General features: G+C 39.1%; 1 protein-coding gene across 8 annotated transcripts in view; it reads left to right on the top strand.

Moving 5' to 3' along the window:
- Window positions 1–22,341, top strand: part of PTPRR (protein tyrosine phosphatase receptor type R) — a 282,666-nt gene that overhangs the window by 254,992 nt on the left and 5,333 nt on the right. For 6 of the 8 annotated variants that reach the window (NR_073474.2, XM_011538615.3, NM_001207016.1 and 3 more), the window contains 3 exons: window positions 3,142–3,252; window positions 4,650–4,807; window positions 8,930–9,043. Coding sequence is in view for 7 of the 8 variants with exons in the window: in XM_011538615.3 (XP_011536917.1) it covers window positions 3,142–3,252; window positions 4,650–4,807; window positions 8,930–9,043 (383 nt within the window). In the remaining variant the exon portion in view is untranslated. Of the gene's footprint in view, window positions 1–3,141; window positions 3,253–4,539; window positions 4,808–8,929; window positions 9,044–22,341 lie in introns of those variants that run through there. The other 2 variants (XM_047429235.1, XM_047429233.1) reach the window with 2 other exon arrangements.

The following is a 22,341-nucleotide window of genomic DNA, read 5'->3' as shown; positions in this document are numbered from 1 at the left end:
CTAACTTGGTGGGGGCCAGAAGGAGAATCAAGGGAAGAAAAAAGATCACAAAAATATGAGCTGGCGGCCGGGCGCAGTGGCTCACGCCTATAATCCCAGGACTTTGGGAGGCCAAGGTGGGCAGATCACCTGAGGTCAGGAGTTCAAGACCAGTCTGGCCAACATGGTGAAACCCCGTCTCTACTAAAAATACAAAAATTAGCTGGGCGTGATGGTGCACACCTGTAATCTCAGCTACTTGGGAGGCTGAGGCGGGAGAATCGCTTGAACCCGGGAGGTGGAGGTTGCAGTAAGCTGACATTGTGCCACTGCACTCCAACCTGAGTGATAGAATGAGACTCCATCACAAAAAAAAAAAAAAAAAAAAAAAAAAAAAAAAAAAGAATTTGCATTGCTTTGTGTTACATCCTACTTTTGCTGTAAACCACCAGTTACAAAGCACTGGTTAATGTCCAGAATCTTTTCAGTCAGAGTTTGATAATAACTTGTTTGCACAAGAGACACTGTCCTCTGGAAACCTATTTTTTTCTTCCAAATTATGGATTCTTAGAATTAATAGATAATTTTACTGAAAGGATAAGCCTAGCTAGCAAAAGAATAGTGATGATTTGGGGTTATATTCTGCTAAATAGCATGCTATTTTGAATCACCTACAATTAGTGTGGTTTCACAGTATTATCTGTAAGGCAGCATTTTTCTTCCCTGCCTTTTCTGCCTCTTTTATCTCATTGTTAGCACCACAATAAAGAAACCCTAAAAAGCTGTACAGGAAAATAATTTGAACATGAACTTGTACTCTTAGAAACAACTGCATTTGCAGCTGTCCCCCACCTCATATTCAAAAGTACCCACACTTATCTGGTCTCTTTTTCTGTCATCTAAATGAGGGAAAAATGTATTCAGTGTGTAAAAATAAGCTATTGTATCTCAGAAAGGAGATGGGATGCTAATTAAGGGTTGTTTGAATGAACAAGTCACATTGCATTGTCTACTGGGAGCTGACTGCCAATTGCTTTTTTGGTAACGAGTCAAAAAAAACATTCAAGAGGGCCCCCGGCAAGCTTGGGAGAGAAGCGAGCAGCATTTCCATTTATCAAGTAGGTGCAGAAGCCTGTGCAAGTATTAAGAGTCAGGGTGCAGGCGGCAAGCTCCTGCTTTGCAGCTTTTCTTACTGGTTTTGAGAGCCACCTTCCTAAAGAGGGCCCTGCTGCTCAGGTCTGATCGTGGACAATGGGGCACGTACGCCAGACTGCTGGACTACTGAATGAATGCCTCTTTCTTTGTTCAATACCTTTTCCAAGATTCTTTGTCATTCTTCTTGGACTCATCGGGAGGCATGGGTTTTAAGATACACAGTAGCTCGGGTCTTACAGCGAAATAATTGATGCTTCATTGAAAGAAACCAGGCAAATTGGTTTGTATGATTACCTTTAACAAAGTGGGAAAATTTTAGACATTTGGCAACTCATAGATTTCGAGAGAAATGAGTTGCTCTACTTTAAAAAGGTTTCTTCTCTTAATGTTAACATTAAGTCAGCCAGAGTAAGTCTTTTGGTCTGATAGCCTGAGAGTCTCAGGTGGCATGTAAATAAAGCTGAAACAATTTACTTCATTTAGAAAAAGGGTCAAAATGTAGAGGATGTAAATGTGTTTTTATTGTAATGGATGAAAGAAACTGATTCTGCTAGGTGAAGTGACTTCCTTCGCTGTGCTAGCTTGTAGAGTAGTGGTACTTAGCATAATAGAGCCCTGGAGGTGTGTTTCTGATACTTTGTGTCACTTTTCCTTCAGTTCTATAATTTTGTGAGTCTTTTGCTGCTCTTTTAAATCTATAAGTATTTAAATTTTTATCAAGTGTATTCATATGCCTTTGACAAAGATGTGAAGAAACAAGTGTCCTGGGTATTAAAAGGTTCTGATTGAAGGCAACAAATGAAAGAATTTCTATGTAAATGTATGTATGGTTGGGAGAAAATAAGTGCTATTTAAACATTTCTAAAATTAACATTGCTTCCAAGAGCACTCAAAATAAAACATAAACATTTGTCATTTTACATTCTTTATCATCAAAATTTGTGGTAAAAAATAGTTATTTTACAGTTGTTTAAAAAGCAAAATGAGATTATATGTATGCTTGAATCTCATTTTGCAATTTTTATTTAATAATGATAACTGACTATAATAATACCAAAATAATATTTAATGCATGAAGATCTAATCACTTTGGGCCAAAAACCTATCACCCAGTAGTTTTAAAATAACAACAGCAATAATAACATGTTGTAAGTGCTTACTCTATGCCTGGCTTTATCCTAAGTACTTTCCAGATAGCCAATAATAAAGAAACTATAACCAAAGGGTTTAAGTATCTTGTTCGTGGATTCACAGGTAATGAATGGTAGAACCAAAATTTGGACTCAGGTTCCGAGTTCAAAGCCTGCGCCTTAACCACCATGCTATGTTGCCTTGCTTGCAGTATAATTATTGTCACTCTTTTAAAGCTCCTCAGGAGGATCCATTATAAAAATATTTTTAACGTAATTTTTGTAAATTAGTTCCATAAGTGAAAAAAACTGTTGGTCCGGGAAAATATAATACCATAGTTGTATTAATGATCATTATATCTGCCTTACATATAAAGGAAACTTGGTTGTATGCCACCTAACATATTAGATATTCTCATTAGACATAAGTTTGTTGAAGCAGGAAAATGTAACTTTCCTCAATTATTGTGGGAAAACATTCTTTTATTTCTAGTCAGCACATGATAAATTCTAATATTTGGATCTCAATTTCTTAACTCTTAAATTTCTTAACTTCTTAATTAGTTCTTAATTTCTCTGAGGAGTTTTGGGTAATTCTGCCTTTTTTTTTTGTATGGAGCCAGCAGTGACAGTGTTTAATAGGCACATATGAAACTGATACTTTAAAAAAAACTGTTGAGATATAATTTATATACCATAAAATCTAGCTGCTTAAGATTTACAATTCAATGGTTTTAGTATATTTACAAAACTATAAAAATTGATATTTGATATTTTAAAACTAATGATATAAAACTCTTGAGATGCTTGAATGAAAAGTACTCCATGGCTAATAAAAGCCATTAATATTTGCTGTATTCTCTTTCCCTTCCTCCAGAAATGTGTGCTATACTGGCCGGAAAAGAGAGGGATATATGGAAAAGTTGAGGTTCTGGTTATCAGTGTAAATGAATGTGATAACTACACCATTCGAAACCTTGTCTTAAAGGTAAGATTATGTAGCTATAGCCATCTACAAAGTAGATGATGTTAGAGGATTACATTTCTACTTTGAAATTATTTAAGTACTACAAATGCAATTTAAGCAAATTAAATAATGTTAAGATCAAAGAGAAACTATAATCATTCCCTCATGTATTTTTTGTTGTCAACTACTATTAATATGCAGTATAATTAAATGAATGTAAGTAGACATTAAGAAAATTCATTATGTAGGATGTTGTGATCCTCTAATTTGCGTTAATAAAATATCTCTGATTTAACCTTTTGAAAGCTTTTAACTAAAGGCTGTGCTGGAGACTTTACCATGATTTTTTTTAATGTCATTTTGATCTAAGCAGCTTTGCGTAAGGCCTGGAAGCTGTGAAAGAGAAAATCTGCATTTGTGGGTGGCAGTGGGAAGCAAGGCAAGCCTGAAGTGTTGATGAGATCTTCAGAAGCGTGGAGTTACAGTAATTTATAGGGACTTTCCCCAGACGAGATTATGTCATAGGAAAACTATCTTATTTAACTCATGGGCAGCAGATGCTGAGAAATGTTACCATGGTATTATTTTTGCTTCTGGAGAATAATCACCCAAAAATTTCGATCTTATCTGCAGCCTCACTGCTGGGATAGAATCATCACAAAGAGGAAGAAAACAGGGGCAGAGCTACAGTGATGGCTTTTGTTGGGAAGTTTGGAATAGGAAGGCGTTTACCAAAACCTGTTTTTCAACACATGTTCTGGAGTGCCGGGGAAGTTTGGAATAGGAAGGCATTTACCAAAACTTATTTTTCAACACATGTTCTGGAGTGCGAGGTTCATGCCACACCCTCACCCGTGCTGGGTTTGGAGATGAGGTGTGTGGGCCCTCACCCAAGTGTTTCCAATAGAGGGATCTCATGTAGCTTCTTTATTGCTGTGATTCCTCACTCCTATTAAATACTGGAGTTTTGGATGAGTGTAGAAGTATTAGCATGACTGATATGAAATTAAGTGTTCTATTGATTAACATGTTTATAATAACTTGTCAGGAATGCTCATAGAGCAGGAAACAAAATATATCTCATTCTTTCTTGGCTACATTTTCACCTACCATCTTGTTTATTATAATAAATTATAAATATATATTTAGCATATGTTACTTATATGATCTATATTATAACTATAGGTAGAGATGTAAATCTCAACAAAGGTATGACTTTCTCACTTTGCAAACAGGTTACTGACAGTAAAGTCTTCTCAAAGTAAAAGGGCACTCTTCAAAAATCTTCTAAATTTTTTTCCCACCTAGAAATAAATTGCCAGCAAGATGGGGGTGATAAAAGGCATTCAGTATTGTGGTTTGGATGACTTTTAGTTCTACAAGTGAATGAGGCATTTGGTGGCTGTTGCTATTTTCAGCAAGGAAGCCACACCCAACATGTGAAGCATTACTGGTACACCTCATGGCCTGATCACAAGACTCCAGACAGTGCCCAGCCCCTCCTACAGCTCATGCTGGATGTAGAAGAAGACAGACTTGCTTCCCAGGGCCGAGGGCCTGTGGTTGTCCACTGCAGGTAAGACGTGTATGGTCCTTTCTGTCTAAGCAATGGCCCATTCTTTGTAAAGTCACAGAGCAGGTGCAAGTGGGTTTTGCTTCCTGGATGTGACTTTGTTGGCAAATTAAATATTTATTGAAATTGGTTAAGTCTGTAATATTTGAGTCTGAATCAAGATTATGCTGACAGAAGTGAAGTCATGCTTTTAGGTCATTTTTCACAAACAACAATTACACAGTCGGCGAAATACAAGTTCGTAATAAATGGCTCAGTGAACAGGAGACCTATTCAGCAGTTATCTGCTTTGAAACTTATATTGATTGATTTAGTCTCATCAGTCTTGTACACACCAGGAATAAAGATGCACTTTTTGAAATTATCAGTGGCTTTTTTGTTGTTTCAACATGACATGTGAACTCTGCTTGGCTTGTATCTTGGTAACATTACTATTTCAAGTTTGGTGAAAACCAGTCAATTATTTTAAGAGTTATCTCCAGAAAAACAGGTTGAAACAAATTTATGAAATGAGAAGTGAGCAAGTCACCAAAGGAAAACAAAGTGCTGTTACCAGAACATGGAGCACTAGAGGCCAAGCCAACAACAGCAGCAGGGTCTGTGCTGGTTCCTGTCCCTAATTTCTAGTTCAAAGCTCTCTTCCTAAAACTGATACCTCCTTCCCCTAATTTTCCTTTTAATGTAACCAAACTGAAGGCAGCATTTTTAAAGTAATTTATATGAACAACTATTTATTTATTTATTTATTTATTTATTTATTTATTATGAGACAGAGTCTCACTCTATCACCCAGGCTGGAGTGCAGTGGCGCTATCTCGGCTCACTGCAACCTCCGCCTCCTTGGCTCAAGTGATTCCCCTGCCTCAGCCTCCAAAGTAGCTGGAATTACAGGCATGCACCACCACGCCTGGCTAATTTTTATATTTTTAGTAGAGGCGGGGGTTTCACCATGTTGGCCAGGCTGGTCTCAAACTCCTGACTTCAAACGTGATCCACCTGTCTTGGCCTCCCAAAGTGCTGGGATTACAAGTGTGAGCTACCATGCCCAGCCAGCCATTTATTCTTCATGCTTTCTCAAAATAATTTGGGTTGCTTTGTTTAACCGCATAGGTCTCTTAAGTCAGCTTTTGATGATATATTTAATAAATATATTATTTTAGAGTATAATTTTAGCCTCCTTTTTTGAGATTGTGTGGTTTAATTAAGAGTAAAGTTTACTATGTGTCTATTTATCCAAAGGTAGATAATACTGGCTTTATCCTAAACTTAACTTGGAGCCAAAAAAACAAAAACAAAAAAACAGCCTAACTGACTATGCGTTAGGGCTGGAACTGTCCCCCACCCAAAGTCATTAAACACTCAGGATATCTAAAATGAACTAGTCACTTCCCCTATAAAACCAGCTCCCCTTCTGATTACTATTTCTGAGAATGAGACTATCTTTTTTCCAGTCACTCAGGATCCCATGTTGACAGTTATCTCTGGTCCTCCTTTTAACTCCAACATCAGTATCTAATCAGTCACTAGATTGGCTTTCCCTTCAAAGCTTCTCCCATAATCACCATTTCCTGTCCAGCCACCATAGTTCAGGCCCTTCTGACCTCATCCATGTATTTTAGAAGTAGCTGGTAAAATGCACACACATACCGCATTCCCCCATGCTCTCACCGCCACCATGGCCTACCTGTGCCCTTTCTCCGTCTCACCTTACATGGAGTCTCTGCTCAAAGCTTGTCAATGGGCCAGGTGCGGTAGCTCACACCTGCAATCCTAGCACTTTGGGAGGCCGAGGCAGGCAGATCACTTGAGGTCAGGAGTTCAAGTCCAGCCTGGCCAATATGATGAAACGCCCTCTCTACTAAAAATACAAAAATTAGCCAGGCGTGGTGGAATGTGCCTGTACTCCTAGCTACTTGGGAGGCGGAGGCAGGAGAATCGCTTGAACCGAGGAGGCAGAGGTTGCAGTGAGTCAAGATCCCGCCACTGTATTTCAGCAGCCTGTGCGACAGAGAAAGACTCTGTCTTATAAAAAAAAAAAAAAAAAAAAAAAAAAAAAAAACTAGAGCAAAAGTCCCTAACGTTGAACCTATCCATAAACCGCAGAGGTCAGTGAACTCCTTGAAATTATTTGGACACATTTGAGTATGTAAACTTATGTGAATTTTTCTGAAGAGTGGAAGCTTATAGTCTTCATCAAATTCTTACTTAAAAAAAAAAAAAAGGATGTATTTCAAACCACTTAGCCTTCCATATAAGATCCCAGGGTACCTCTCTATCTTTATTTCCCATAGTTCCACTAAAATAACTTTCTCTTCAAGACAAGCTGTTCTACTTATTGTTGCAAATCATATTTGCTGTTTCTCATTAATTCTTTTCTTCTTTCATTGTATATCATTGTCGTACCTAGAATATTCTCTCTCAGTTATAACAGCCAAAATACCTGCCATTCATGGGGCACAGTTCCAATCCTATTTCTTCAATGAAATGAACTTTCTGTGGACACTTCAGCTAAAAGAGAGCCACTCCTCTGAATTCCTCTGCACTCACATTCAACAGAAAACAAGTGCCAAATGTGAGAAATAGGTGCTATTTGAGTGCCAAGAGGGGAGCAATTATTTCCAACCATGGGAGCTGAAGAAAACCTCTAAAAATTGGAATAATGCTGAACTGAGCCTTTTGAAATAATCAATGTTGTGGTTTTAAAAGGAGGGAGGGCATTTCTGACCAAGAAAACATTGTTAACACAGAAAAATTGGAAAACCAAAAGCCCAAACAATTGACGTAAGTGAAAATCATGGCACACGGGAGGGAAGACAGCAAAATACATAAGGCTTGAAAGTTAGTCACATTCAGATTTTGCAAGGTCATGAATACCATGGTAGGGAGGTTAGACATTATGCTATAGTTAATGGAGCCATCTATAGGTTTTGAGTAGGGAATGATATAATTAAGTCCCTATTTCAGAAAGATGAACTTAGCAGCTGTGCGAATTTGTCAAGGAAAAGACTTGAGACTTGGAAACTATAATGAGATCACTGCTAATCATGAAAAAAGGAGATGTTGAAAACGTGATTACAGTCTATAGAAAGGAAAGCATGAATCCCACAGGCTCAGCAGAGATGGAAAATAGAAGAAGTGGTAACAGATTGGATGTGGGAGGTGAGAAAGGGAGAGATGTAAAAGATGGTTCCAAGACTTCTAGGCTGGAAAACTTGTGGCAGACTGGTAATGCCATTGAGGGAAAAGATAATTAATTCTGTTTTAGATACATTGAATTTAGATACATTGAACTGAAGCAAGTCCAAAATAGTAAGGAGGAGATGGAATGACAATCTAGAGTTTAGGAAATTTAGGGAGTCTAGATGTAGATTTGAAAGAATCTTTTACATAGAGACTGTTAGTGGTTAAAACTGCAGACAGAGACAGAGAGAGCACGTGTGCTTGTGAGGTTGATTTTATGGACATATCGTCTAAGGCAGTTGAATGTATAAACCCACCAGGACAGACATCATTTCTGTTCAATTATCATGTCTATACAAATCTCTTGGAAATATGTGCCTCTAGCTGCACCCTCTCCTAAAATGAATCCAATCTTCAATTGCTCAATTATTCACTAGACTTCTGAACATCAGTATGTCCAAGGCAAAACTCCCCTTCCCTGCCTCCTTCAAATTCACCCTATTCCAGCATGCACTTGGCCTCAGGGCATCACCATTCTTCTTTCTCTCCAGGCCTAGTCATCTTTGACTTTTTGCTTTTCTCCCTCTTCAGCTCCAGTCCTTCAGATTCACACTGGGAATGTGCCTAAATCTTCCCCCTCCTTTCTACTGCCTGTATCTTGCCTAAGTGCAGACCTTAATTATTTTTTATTTTTTCTAGAACAATTATAATGCCTTTTTACTGTTCCCCCAACTCACCACTTCCCCCCACCCCTCTCATCCTACTACTTATAATTAAATGTAAAAATATATTTTAAGCACTTAGCACAGGGCCAGGTTTATAATACTCAATATGTGAATACTACTTTTAACTGTGGTTTCAGATTTAAAAGTACCCTTGTAAAAGAATGTTTCTTATCTTTGTCATTTTCCCCCACTTTTTAAATTTCTTTTCTTTTCTTTTCAGTGCAGGAATAGGTAGAACAGGGTGTTTTATTGCTACATCCATTGGCTGTCAACAGCTGAAAGAAGAAGGAGTTGTGGATGCACTAAGCATTGTCTGCCAGCTTCGTATGGATAGGTGAGTGTCACAGAGGCTTGCCTTCAGAGCACTGTTTTCATTCACAGCCTGATCTCATCAGCCTGACTTCATGCATAAACATCTCAGGCTCCAAGGTCCTAAATCTCTGTAGAGATGCTTGTAAAATGCTTAAGTATATGCATTATATTAAAAAGCCTTTTTTTCTCTCTTTTTTGAGACAAGGTCTTGCTCTGTCATCCAGGCTGGAGTGCAGTGGTGCAATCTCAGCTCCCAGCAGCCTCAAACTCCTGGGCTCAAGCAATCCTCACACCTCAGCCCCCGCACGTAGCTAGGACTACAGGTGTGCGCCATGCCTGGCTAATTTTTTTAGTTTTTTGTAGAGATGGGGTCTTGTTACATTACTCAGGTTGTTCTTCAACTCCTGACCACAAGTGAATCTCCCACTTGGGCTTCCCAAAGCGCTGAGATTACAGGCATGAGCCACCATGCCTGGCCTGAAGTTATTTATTTATTTATTATTTTTTTGAGACAGGGTCTCACTTTGTCACCCAAGCTGGAGTGCAGTGGTGTGATTATGGCTCACTACAGCCTAGACTTCCTGGGCTCATGTGGTCCTCCTACCTCATCCCCCCAAGTAGCTGGGACTATAGGCGAGCACCACTACACATGGCTAATTTTTGTAATTTTTTTTTTTGTAGAGACAGGGTCTTACTATGTTGCCCAGGTTGGTCTAGAATGCCTGGGCTCGAGGGATCCTCCTTTCTTGGCCTCCCAAAGTGCTGGGATTACAGGTGAAAGGCACTGCATCTGGCTCCCAAAGTTATTTTTTAATCCTTTTATTAAATTGTGACAAAATGCACATGACAAAATTTATCATCCTAACCATTTGTAAGTGGACAATTTATTAGGGTTAAGTACATTCACATTGTTGTACAACCAATCTCTGGAATTCTGTTCATGTTGAAAAACTCAGTATCCATTAAAAAACTCCCCATTCCTCTCTCAGCCCAACTGGTAACTGCCATTCTATTTTCTGTCTCTGTCAGTTTAAATGCTCTAGGCACCTTTTACGTAAGTGGAGTCATACAGTATTTGTCTGTTTGTGGCTGGCTTATTTCACTTAGCATAATATCCTCAAGGTTCATCTATGTTGTAGCATGTGTCAGAATTTCCTTGCTTTTTAAGGCTGAATAATATTCCATTTTAGGACACATATTTTGTTTATCCATTCATCAATTGATGAAGACTTCAGTTGCTTCCATATTTTGACTATTGTGAATACTGCTGCTATGAACATGCGTATGCAAATATCTGTTCAAGACCCTGTTTTCAATTCTTTTGAGTATATACCCAAAAAGTGGGATTGATGGATCATACGGAATTCTATTTTTAATTTTTTGAGAAAACCATCATAGTATTTTCTGCAGTGGCTGCACTGTTTTACATTCCCACCAACAACACAGGAGGGTTCCAGTTTCTCCACAACTTCACTGACATTTTATTTTCTGCTTTGCTTTTTTTGATAGTAGCCATCCTTATGAGGGTGAGATGGAAGAGTCATTTTTATAGAGATATGGTTTGATCACCTTTGTTATAATCTCCATTTGTTTTGAAAACAAGATAAACAAGAAACTTCTCTTCTTCCTTGCTCCACAACTAAGCCTGCCTGGGTAAATGGACGATTGAGTTAGTGATGGAGAAAGTGGACAGATGCTGCTTCAGAGAAGGCACAAAATGATGAGCAGCAGGCGTCTCTGCTCAGTAATTCAGTGTACTACAGTGGAACAAGAGTTTTGTTGGCTAGGTATGGTGGCTCTCGCCTGTAATCTCAGCACTTTGGCAGGCCAAAACAGGAGGATCCCTTGAGTTCAGGAGTTTGTGACCAGCCTGAGCAACAAAGTGAGACCCTGTCTCTAAAAACAAACAGCAAACAACAAATGTTTACTAATCACCTCATATGCCTAGGCATTGGTCTAGATGCTGCAAATACAGCATTAAACAAGAATTTTCTGCTCTCTTAGAATTTATATGCTAGCAGAAAAAGATAATAAACAAGCAAAATAAACCAAGATAATTTCAGACAGAAATAAATGCTGTGAAGTAATAAAACAAAGAGGGACACAGGCATTGATTCCCTTGAGCTTCAGCCCTATGACCTAGAGTTTTCTAAAAAGATAAAATTATACACTAACCTTTCTTTTTTTCCTGGAGACAGAGTCTCGCTCTGTTGCCCAAGCTGGAGTGCAGTGGCGTGATCATGGCCCACTGCAGCCTTGACCTCCTGGGAGTACAAGCGTGTGCCACACTCAGCTGAGTTTTGTATTTTTTGTAGAGCTGGGGCTTTGCCATGTTGCCCAGGCCAGTCTCGAACTCCTGGACTCAAACAATCCTCACATCTTGGCCTCCCAAAGTGCCGGGATTGTAGGTGTGAGCCACCGTGCCAGGCCATATAATTACCTTTCGAGATTTTTTTTTCAACAAATATGCTTTGAGCACTATGTGCTATGTCCTGGCATTTCAATAAAAAAGACAAGAAGATTATTCTGAAAAATGAGATAATATATGTAAAACACTTGGAATAGAGTCTGGCACATAGTAAGCCCTCAATAAATGTTTGTTATGTTATTATCATCTTTATTATTAAAATTATCTGTGAAGTTTCTCTTACCTCTAAAAAAATAAACATTCAAATTTCCCTATCCAGATTAGTTTTTCCCTTCCCATCTGTAACATTCTTGTCTCCTTTTTAGACAGTAGCCTCTAAGTCTTTCTAACCGTATCTTCCCTGTTTGTTTTCTACTATGTTTGTTTCTTTCTTTATTATTTTCTCTTTCTGTTAGCATGTAAACTCTAGAAGCAGTTCATCATGGCGATTAACATTCTGGGCTCTGGAAACAGATTGCCTGCCTGAGTTTACATCCCAGATTCCACCATTTTTTTGGTTGTATGGCCTTGGGCAAGTTACTACCCTTCTCCATGCCTCAGTTTTCTCATTTGGAAAATTGGAGTAATAGTAGTATATATTTCCTATTATTATTGTAAGGATGAAAAGATGATATGACCTATGTGAAATGCCTGGTGTGTAATAAGCATTCAATCAAGTTTCCACAGTTGTTATCACTATACGTAGCAAGGAACCTAACATGTGCCTGTAAACTGGAAATAGTAATGTATAACTCACAGGACTTCAGCCACATTTAAATGACATTAAACCTGAAATGTATTTAGTAGAACACTCAGCCTACATTGCTTATCCTCTCTTTACCCCCCAATCCTGCTTCCCTCTTACCACACCCCACATGTAACTGCTTCCAAAAATGTTTTCTTTTGGTACATAAAAAAGATCAGTTCCAATTATCCCTTCTCCTCTTATAATTGCTGCCTTAATCTCCTGATATTCCTTTGCCTTCCATCCTGTGTAGTCCACCTCAGCTGGAATAGGATCAGTTGCTTCACTTCAAATTTTAGGGCCTGTCTTCACACAGGAAAGGGGCCCTAACTCTGAGGGGGAGAAGCAGCACTCAGTCAGCCAGAGCTGCTCCCACATTGACTTTCATCTGTCCTGATTTGTGCTTCTGTAGACAAGGCTGCCACCTGAGACCCCAAATCACCCGGGGACTCCAGTTCATACCTTGGAGTCCTGTGTTCTTGTTTAGTGCCAGAACTCCATGAATGCCAAACACATGCATGGATCTAAAGTGACTCCAAACCAAGCTGGCCTCCAGCAACACCTGTTCTGATCCTATTTGGAAGAACGTGCTGAAAAACAGGCTTGGTTTGCTCTTTTTCTTGGCTCTTGTTATGTTACCATTAATTCTTGCCTGCTCACCCTCCCATCTCCCACCTCCCCTGCCCACTTTCATAGCCTGACCTCCACCTTGGGTTCCACTTCCCAGTCACATTCCCCTTTCAGGTCTAACAAATTGTCCTCTAGTTTTGAATGGAATTACAAATGCATTTTTTTAAACCACATCACAATGCCTCCTCTATCTGCTCCTTCCTTCCTAAAGCAAATGGTCAGAAACCTTAGCCTTGGCCTTCCGTCACCACCAAGGTCTTCCCAGAGGTCTTGTCTTTTCACTTCTGATAGGATCTTGAAAACACATCCAACTTCTCTGCTGATCTGAAGCCTATAGGCACCCAACCCCCTTGAGTTTGAATGACTGCCAATATATGCATCAAAATCATTCTGATTTCTTCATCAAGACCCTTTCTGCATTCTTTCTGAGCAGCTGTTTCTGTTGTTTATGAAACAGATCCTCTCCTTGAACCTTCCTTTGAAAGGTCTTTCCTCCAGCCTCCTTCCTTCACAGGATCAACATATGTTTTCCTTTTCTTGTCTCTTCCTTCTGTTGTACACTCTTCTAGTTGTTATGAAAAGCAGAACAGAAAACCTATCCCTTTCGTTTCACCTCATCTTACTTCTTTTTCTCCCACATTATTCTTGCCTCTTGTTCCAGTCCTTCAGCTTTTTCCTATCATACCTCATTTTAAAAATTCCAATGTGTGGCTAACTGCTGCCATTAACCATGTTTTTGGCTCATGGCAGTAAAGGGAAAACTGGTCTCAGCCAATCCAAATGTCTACCGTTATGCACTTGCAGCATATCTTTCTTCATCACTTGTTCAAACCTTGTCCCCAAATTCCGATTTTCCTGGCTATCCTTACCTTCAGCTCTGAATCTGTCCAGAGATTCCAGAATGCACTATGTATTTAATACATACAGAATGTATTTAATCATGGACTCTTCACCATGGTCTTCAAAGCACATGACTTATTTAACTCCCAAAATAAACCCAAGTGAAGGAAAAGAAGCATCTTGGCCTAATTTTTTTTTTTTTAATGAGGAACCAAAGAATTCGAGATAGCGAGTAACTTGTCCAAAGTCAAGTAGCTTGGGAAGTAACAAAATGGACCTATTGGAATCTGGGACATTTGCCTGATCTCTAATTATTTCTCTGATCTTTATCAATCTTATAGAAAAGTAAATAGGCTTTTGGAATATGTTTATTGTAAAACTTCTTGACAAAAACATATCTCTTTGATAATACTCTGCCATTTTAAACAAATGAGCCCAGGAGTTCGAGGCCACCCACCCTGGGCAACATAGCAAAACTCCACCTCTTAAAAACAAAATGCAATGACAACGGGACACCATAATTTTTAAAACAGTTTTTAGTATAAATGAGAGCTCCTTTATGAATAGTTGGAGTGACGTTGTCGGCAACTGCCTTAAGAGTACAATTTGAGGGACAAAACATTGCTGCTTCTTAAAATATCTATCTATGGAGGATGCTAAAATGTATAGCGAATGTCTAAAATACTGCTAGTAAAGAGCTAATCTTGGATGGATTCTTTTAAAAGAATTATCTTTTTCTAAAGTTTATTGAATCTGGAGATGGGAGATGGCATAACACTTCATATCTACTATGCTATTAACGCTTCAATCTAAACGAAGTGATCTGTTCTTTTCAGTGTGGTAGCTGGAGAGAGTGTAACTCCTGGCATTAGGAATACATTCAGAACTTGGGTTTTGGTGAAGGGAAATTGAAGAGGGCTTCCGATGCTGGACACGCCATGGCGAGGTCCTTCAATCAAGGAGACTGTTAGATAAGCTCATGGCTTGTCTTGGGAAAGCAAGCGGCACTAAGACAGAGCTGAAGAGCACTCCAAGGGACACTGTGGGCAGGACCAGCTACATAATTTGTGAGGCCCAGTATAAAATGAAAATGTGGCATCTGTTGATTAAAAAGTATCAAATACTTCAAGACAGTGACAGCAAAGCATTAACCCAAGTTCAGGGTCCTTCTCAGCACAAGAAGGTGAGAGGTATATGACTGCACTGGTCACGATCCCTTGAAGCTAACTCTGTCTTAGGATATTTTTAGAATGGAATGAGTGTTTGTATTAGTTTGGTGCCAAAGTAATTGGGGTATTTGCTATTATAATTATTTTTGCACCAACCTAATAGATGGGCCTGCATCCTGTGTTCTGTGGAACAGGCATCTGAGACCTCTGCACAGAGTGGTGCTCCTGAATCCTGCATACATTCATCCATTCAACAGGCATCACTAGACATCTGCTACTGAGCATGAATCAGGCACCTGGGTGTAGAAAAATGGGTGTCTTAACCAGCTTTCCCAGTTTCCCAGATTGTCCTTCTCAGGACATAGTTTAATTAACAATTATTTACTGAGAGCCTCCTAAGCCAAACCCTCTTGGTGGCGTTCAGGCACAAAGTAGGTTCTTGACTAAGTTCGGGGAAAAGCTGTTTATATATATATATATATTTTGTTTTGTTTTGTTTGTTTTTTTGAGATGGAATTTCTTTCTTGTCACCCAGGCTGGAGTGCAGTAGCATTATCTGGGCCCACTGCAACCTCCACCTCCTGGGTTCAAGCGATTATCCTGCCTCAGCCTCCCGAGTTGCTGGGATTACTCCCGGCTAATTTTTGTATTTTTAGTAGAGGCAGGATTTCACCATGTTGGCCAGGCTGGTCTCGAACTCCTGACCTCAGGTGATCCACCTGCCTCGGGCTGCCAAAGTGCTGGGACTGCAGGCATGAGCCATGGCACCCAGCCCTACACTATATTTCTTCGAAGTCTTCCCCACTCGGAGACTCACAATAAGCATTAATGCATTAAAAAATCTAAAATCTTCCAATGTAGAAACTCCTTTAATTTTATTTAAGCACTCTTTCACATTTATTTGACCACAGATGAATTTCCTCAAGAACCATCTAAATGAGAGGGAAAGAAGTTGTAATAATAAAGATAAGCTGTTCTTTCAAGAAGCTTTGTGGTGAAGAGAAGACTAGAGATAGGATAGTAATTTAAGCCTGAACCTGGACCCCTAAAAAGAGGAAAAGGGCCCGGCACGGTGTCTCAGGCCTGTAGTCCCAGACTTTGGGAGGATGAGGCAGGCAGATCACTTGAGGTCAGGAGTTCAAAACCAGCCTGGCCAACATGGTGAAACCCCATCTCTACTAATAACACAAAAATTAGCCAGGCATGGTGGTGCACACCTGTAGTCCCAGCTACTCAGGAGGCTGAGGCAGGAGAATTGCTGGAACCCAGGAGGCAGAGTTGTGGTGAGCCGACTTCACGCCACTGCACTCCAGGCTGGGCGAGAGAGTGAGACTCAAAAAAACAAAGGTGGTGGGAAAGGAATGGTGGAACCAACTAATTAAAAGCAGCTAAGTGTAATAAGAGAGAGAAAAGACAGAACCAGTATATCAGAAGGCTGATATTTTGTATTCGGCAGAATACGAGCTTCACAGGCCTTCCTCTATCCTTTTCTACTCTTTTTTAACAACCTCCAACCACTAGCAATGAAGGCTGCATACTGTGCATCTTATTCTTATAATCTACCCCTCTCCACTTGTAGCTGCCTCCTCTGAGGAGTCCAGGTATGGCTAACAGCAAAGAAAAAGACAAGGCAGTGATTTGGATACTTGAAATGGGGCTCATTTCATGACCGATCAGTCAAGAGCTTGAACACTGGATAGGATTAAAATTTTGATTTCCACCACCACCACCCCAAAAATTACAATGCCTGGTCATTGTAATTTAACATGAAAAGAACAAGCAATTTCTACTCAAGTTAAAAATCTGCATTTTAGTAATAAATTCAAATGGTCTGGTTCAGAGACGAATGTGTTATGCTGAATGGATATTTCCAGTATAACAATGACAAAACCATTTGGTAGATTCCTCATTCTCTGGCAAGACATTATTTTTATTGGCTTTGTGACAACTTCTATTAATAGATGCTCAGTTCTCATTGCAGATTCATGAGTCTGTGATTCTCCTTTTACTAATACTTTTGAGCATATTTTGAACTAAAATAAGATTTCTTTTTTTTTTTCCAAGTAGGAGTTCAAATTCAGTGCAAGGCACCCACGAATGTTTTATTTAGAAGGGCATTAAGGGATCATCCCTTCATTCCCACTGCATTCGCTTTTAATTAAAAGATGAAGTGGGTGGTATGGCAATTGCAACTGAACACTGGTAAGACTAGCAAAAGAATGAGGTGCCGGACATCTCTGGACTAGATGTCAAGGAGCTTGGTGCGTGGCTCTGCCCCCTAATTTTCTGTGTGACCATTTGTCCACTCTAGGCCTCTCTGTCTACATAGTAAAAGGAGATGTGGGGCGTAACAGTGATCTCCAACCTTTTCTGGTATAAAAACCAGAAATATCTTACTATCAAGAGTAAGATATTTCATGGACCTCCACCTGATTGTTGTATTTTAATGCTTGCAAGTTAATATTCATTGTGTGACTCACAACAAAGCTTAAGTGGATGTCAGGACTCCTCTAACAAGATGCTTTTCCATGCTGGAATTCAGTGATTGCAGAGTGACCAACTGGCTTTCTGAGATCCCTCTCAGCTCTTGCTTTCTTTGAGTCTTTGAAGATTTGTTTATGTGGAGAACAATGGGATAGCCGCAATAGTCATAACATTTGCCAAACATCTCCTAGGAAAAGGGTGGGTTTTTTTTTAAAATCTAGCCTCAGGAATATATTGCCCAAAGTTTTCATTCTAAAGGAAGAATCCAAAACCAAAAAAGGGGACATCTCCAAGGCCACATGACCAATTTTGAAGTTTTTATAAAACACTCTGAACTGAACTTTCAATTTTGCTCAAATTAGATTGACTAAATTCTGGATTTTGGGGGTTCTGCTGTTGTTTTCTGCAGTGGGAAGCCTAAGTGGGTTACACTCAAGATGAAGAGAGAGGAAGTTCACATTCTAATCCTGCCTTCAGCAATGACCCTGAACTAGTTGCTATATAAACCAGGAAAAATTGTTTATCTCTGATTATTTTAGTTTAGATTACTTATTAATATCTGAATATGATAAGTACAATGAACTTTCTGTTGGCCAGCATTGTTGCAAAAGGGATATTTTGCTCAATCACATTTTCCTATTAACAGGAGATTACCGTAAATGTATAGGTCAATTTTTTAAAATTATAGTTGAAAAAAAGATCCATAACATTAGTACTAAACTGAACACAGTATAATCATTTTTTATTACTTAGAAAGCCCTTCCATATAATACTTAAACCTTCTAATCTCAAATATCACTAAATTGTTCAACTATACCACCTAGTTAAAAATACCAATTGCTATAAAGCTAAGCCAACCAGCTTCGCTGCATGTAGCTCTTGCTAAAAAAGATTCATTTAGGCTTGGGTATGTCAAGGTTCTACAGTTTGAGATAGTGACAGAAGGTCATTTACACATTTAGCATGAGAGATGCAGTGTCTCAGTTTATTACTATAGATGATGTTTATATTTTAACATCAGACAGTGCTTCACATGCATATAGATATTACAGAAGTATGACTACAAATCAATTCGTGACTATCAGAAGACATCTAAGCAGGCAGGAAAGGAACATATTCCATTGCAGATTGACCTCAGATAACTTTTTCCTCATCGTTTTCCTTTTAATCCCATTGGCAACTGGACACTGGAAGAATTTTAAAACAGAACCTGGGAAGTGAAACATATAAAATAATATCTTATTCCAAGGCCTTTTTTTTCCTCTTTTTTTTCTTCCTGAGTAGCAGGAAATTATCTGTCAAATCCTTCTTTTTAAGAGTCAAGGATGGAATTTGTAGTTGCCTGTACATCCTTACCTTAGAGGGCTTAAACTGGAATGACATCCAAAGGCCTCACTTGTGGCTTCCCACACAGGATAAAAAGATGCTTCCAATGTGCATCATATCATTGTTTAAATGTTTTGATTAGTCACTTCAGTTCGATGATTTTCTTTTCTTTTTTTTTTTAACTACAGCCATCTCAGAAGAATATATATGCCATCAATTTCCAAGGCTAATATATGTCCCCAACATATTTTTTGTTTCCAAAACCTGGTTGAAATAATTTCAAAACTAAAGTTTCTGCTTGTTGGTCTAAGGTTTATCAACTGTAACCTTACATTTATCCATATTTCTCTGCATTCCCAAATAATCACAAAGATTCCTCTAATTAATGAACTTCAAAGATCTCATTTGAAGATCAGGAATTCAACATTTTGATTTGCTTATTTTAAGGACACTTGGAGATAAAGCCCTAGAAATTGGTGTGGATTTACTTGACATTATAATTCCTGAGATCACAACAAGAGGTCTACTTTGTAAAACATATTATGCTGACTGAATCTTCCAAGTGGCTGCCAGGACATTTTCCTTCTTCCTAGCTTGGAGTTAATTAGGTGTTAACTTGAGTGTTCAGAGGAAAACGGCTAATTTTCAGAGGAAAAAAAAATGGAACTCAAAATATGTTAGACTCATCAATTGAATTATCATTTGATATATGCTGATTTTTATGACCTACAAATACTTTAGAACACATCTATTTTGGAGAAGGTGTCTATGTTCAAAATACCTGGTCAGAATTGGCCAAATTTACATTTAAGTTCTCCCTCCTTGATATGACATCTGTGTAAAGCCATGGGAAATCCTCTGTCCAAGGGGCCAGACACACCTTACAGCTGACCCCGGCTAAGCACAGCAGACAGTAGCCTCACTTGACTCATGCCCAAGCTCTTGGAACTTTACCCAGGAGGCACATTAACGTCCACACCTTTTGTTCTAAATTTACTGTACCAAACTTTACCAAAAGAATTCCAGATTTGAAAATAATAAAAAGCAAAGGAGCATAAGTTTCATTGTTAGCCCAGAAGTGAGTCATCACTGCAGAATTTCTTCTGTCTACTGATTAGACCGGATACGGGCTGGGCGGTACGACAGGAAAGGCTGTTGCTCTCTGTATGTGTGAGTGAATAGTCACAAAAGGTCAAAATTTTAACATGTTAAAAGCCAAATCTCTCTCCTGGGCATCTGGAGAGGTTTTTTTCAAAACACCCTCCCAGTAGCAAAGGGAAAAAACTACATTTTTTTTTCCCTTTCTAACCTGAGTTTACCCCCAGCTGACACAGCTACGTGCTGTTCTGCACGGAGACTGAGACGACACTGATCTTTGTATTTGGCAGGGCTAATGTGATATGAGATTATCTGACATTTATAGGAGGGTAGTATATCTGAATCCTCTCTGGCCTGGCCAAACACAGCATTTCATAGTCTGTGGGCACAAAGAAATCCAAGCCACGTGGCTAACACCACTTTTGCAATAAAGGGAATGACTTTCTTCCACAGCATGGAATGGGGCATCATTAGGATGAACAAATAATTTATCATCCAAACCAAGGTACTTCTGAGAGTGAAAGGTGACCCAATTGATAATGACACCAGGACAACACCAATGAACCACAACTCTTCCAAACATGGTTACCCTAGGTGTCGTATTAACTAAGAATAAGAAAAATAATACACAGCATTTATTTAGTACTCACTGAAGGGCAGTTACTGTGCCAAGAGTTTTGTGGATTCTCTCATTTAAACCTTGTAAAACTTGAAGCCTTATTAGATAAATACCTAAATACCTTATTAGCCAGGCCAGTGGTTTTCAAACTTCTTTGTGAACAATGGAAAACTTTTTGCAGGCAGAATCTTCCACAGAACACCAACACAGAAAACCAATAAAAAACACAACTTCCCTGGTCAAAGCTGGGATTGGCATCTAGTCCTAATGACCCATCCTCCTCCTCTGCCCTGCCCAGGGTCCTCAGCCACCTTTGTAGAACCCTGGGCTTCTGGGGATTCTGTGAATAGCCTTCAGCCAGACATTGATATGCTCTGATTCATTTAATCCTCACAACCCGATGACGTTTGTCATTTATGCCATTTTACAAGTGAGAAAAGCCAGGTTGGGAAGGACTAAATGACTTGTCTAAAATCATTTAGCTAAGTAAGTTAAAAAAACAAGGATTCAAACCTGAATCTGTCAGACTCCAAGCCTACTATTTTCATCATCTGCCTCCACTGTGCCTGTCTTCTAGGCTGGTCAATATTTAGAAAGATATTTGGAACTTAATGGGCAAACTAATGTCCTCTGCCAGATTTGCTCTTGGTTCTCCAGGGTCTTTGGGGGCCTCACTCCAGAGCCTCCTAACCAGTCCTATTTGACCAGATGGTACCAAAGAGTAACAATAACAATAACAATAATAATAGTTGACATTTATGGTATTGATATGTGCTTGGCTATGTGCTAAACATGTTAAGTGATAGTCCCATTTATTTCTCACAACAATGCTATAAAGTAGGAACTATTGTTTTTATTGTCGCATCATTTGCAGATGAAAAAACTGAGCACTGCAGAGATTGTGTAGTTGGGTAAAATATCTAGTAAGTGGTGGAGACAGAATTTGTCTTGACAACAGTGTATGCTGTCTTTTTCCCTCTTAACATACTCTGGTCCCCCCTGGTAATGAACTTGGCACCATTCTCTCAGCTAGCTGGGGTTCTCTTGACATTTTTATTTGACCTTACTCTTTTTTGGTAAACTAACTCCTGCTTAGCAGTAGGTATTTTCACTTAATGTATTATACCTCCTGGGAAAACAAACGTGTACTGGAAAAGAAATATCTGACGCACAATAAAATTTTAAAGAGTTTATTTAGTAAGAAGCCAGTCATACATTGGGAAACACCAGACCAAAAGAGGTTTAGTGTTCCAATGACAAAACGCCAGAGGCAAGTATTTATTGGGAAAGTACAGAAACAAACAATTTATTTGGTTGGTTTGCAATTACATAATTGCCTTTTTTCAGGTACTGTATTGGAAAGTCCTTACTGACATAACAATATGTGAGTTGGATGCTTATGATTGGCTGGGGTTATGTTTTAGTTCTAACATAAGCATTTATCAGATATGAACCTGAGGTAAGTTTCACTTCTGTTTGCAATTTAAGGTGCATGCATATTGGTGCACACCTGTAGTCCCAGCTACTTGGGAGGCTAAGGAGATCAGTTGACCTGGGAGGTTGAGGCTGCAGTGAGCCACGATCCAGCCAGGATGACACAGTGAGACCCTGCCCCAAAAAGAAAAAGAAAAAAAAAGTAAGAAAAAGAGTACCCTTGTTTCTCACCTCCCAGAACCACTTTGTATTGGGAACTTTATATCAGTAATATAGATCCAGATTTTAGCAAATCCATGAAACCTATCTGACCTAAGAGCTTCCTGGAGTCAAGTCAGAGCTCTCCTGAGGATGAATAACTATAGAGCTCTCTTGAGAGTTCCATAGTTAACCAAGCTTTATACATTTATTCCATAAATATATTTTGTATACAGACACTGTACTAGCTTCTTAGGTGTTTCTTTTTTTGCTATGACCAGCCTATCTAAAAAACTGCATTTGCCAGGCATGGTGGCTCATGCCTGTAATCCCAGCACTTTGGGAGGCTGAGGTGGATGGATTGCCTGAG

This window comes from Homo sapiens, chromosome 12 (assembly GCF_000001405.40).
Source record: "Homo sapiens chromosome 12, GRCh38.p14 Primary Assembly".
NCBI lineage: Eukaryota > Metazoa > Chordata > Mammalia > Primates > Hominidae > Homo > Homo sapiens.
Note: the sequence above shows the minus strand (reverse complement) of the source record. Positions and strands in the feature narration are given on the sequence as shown.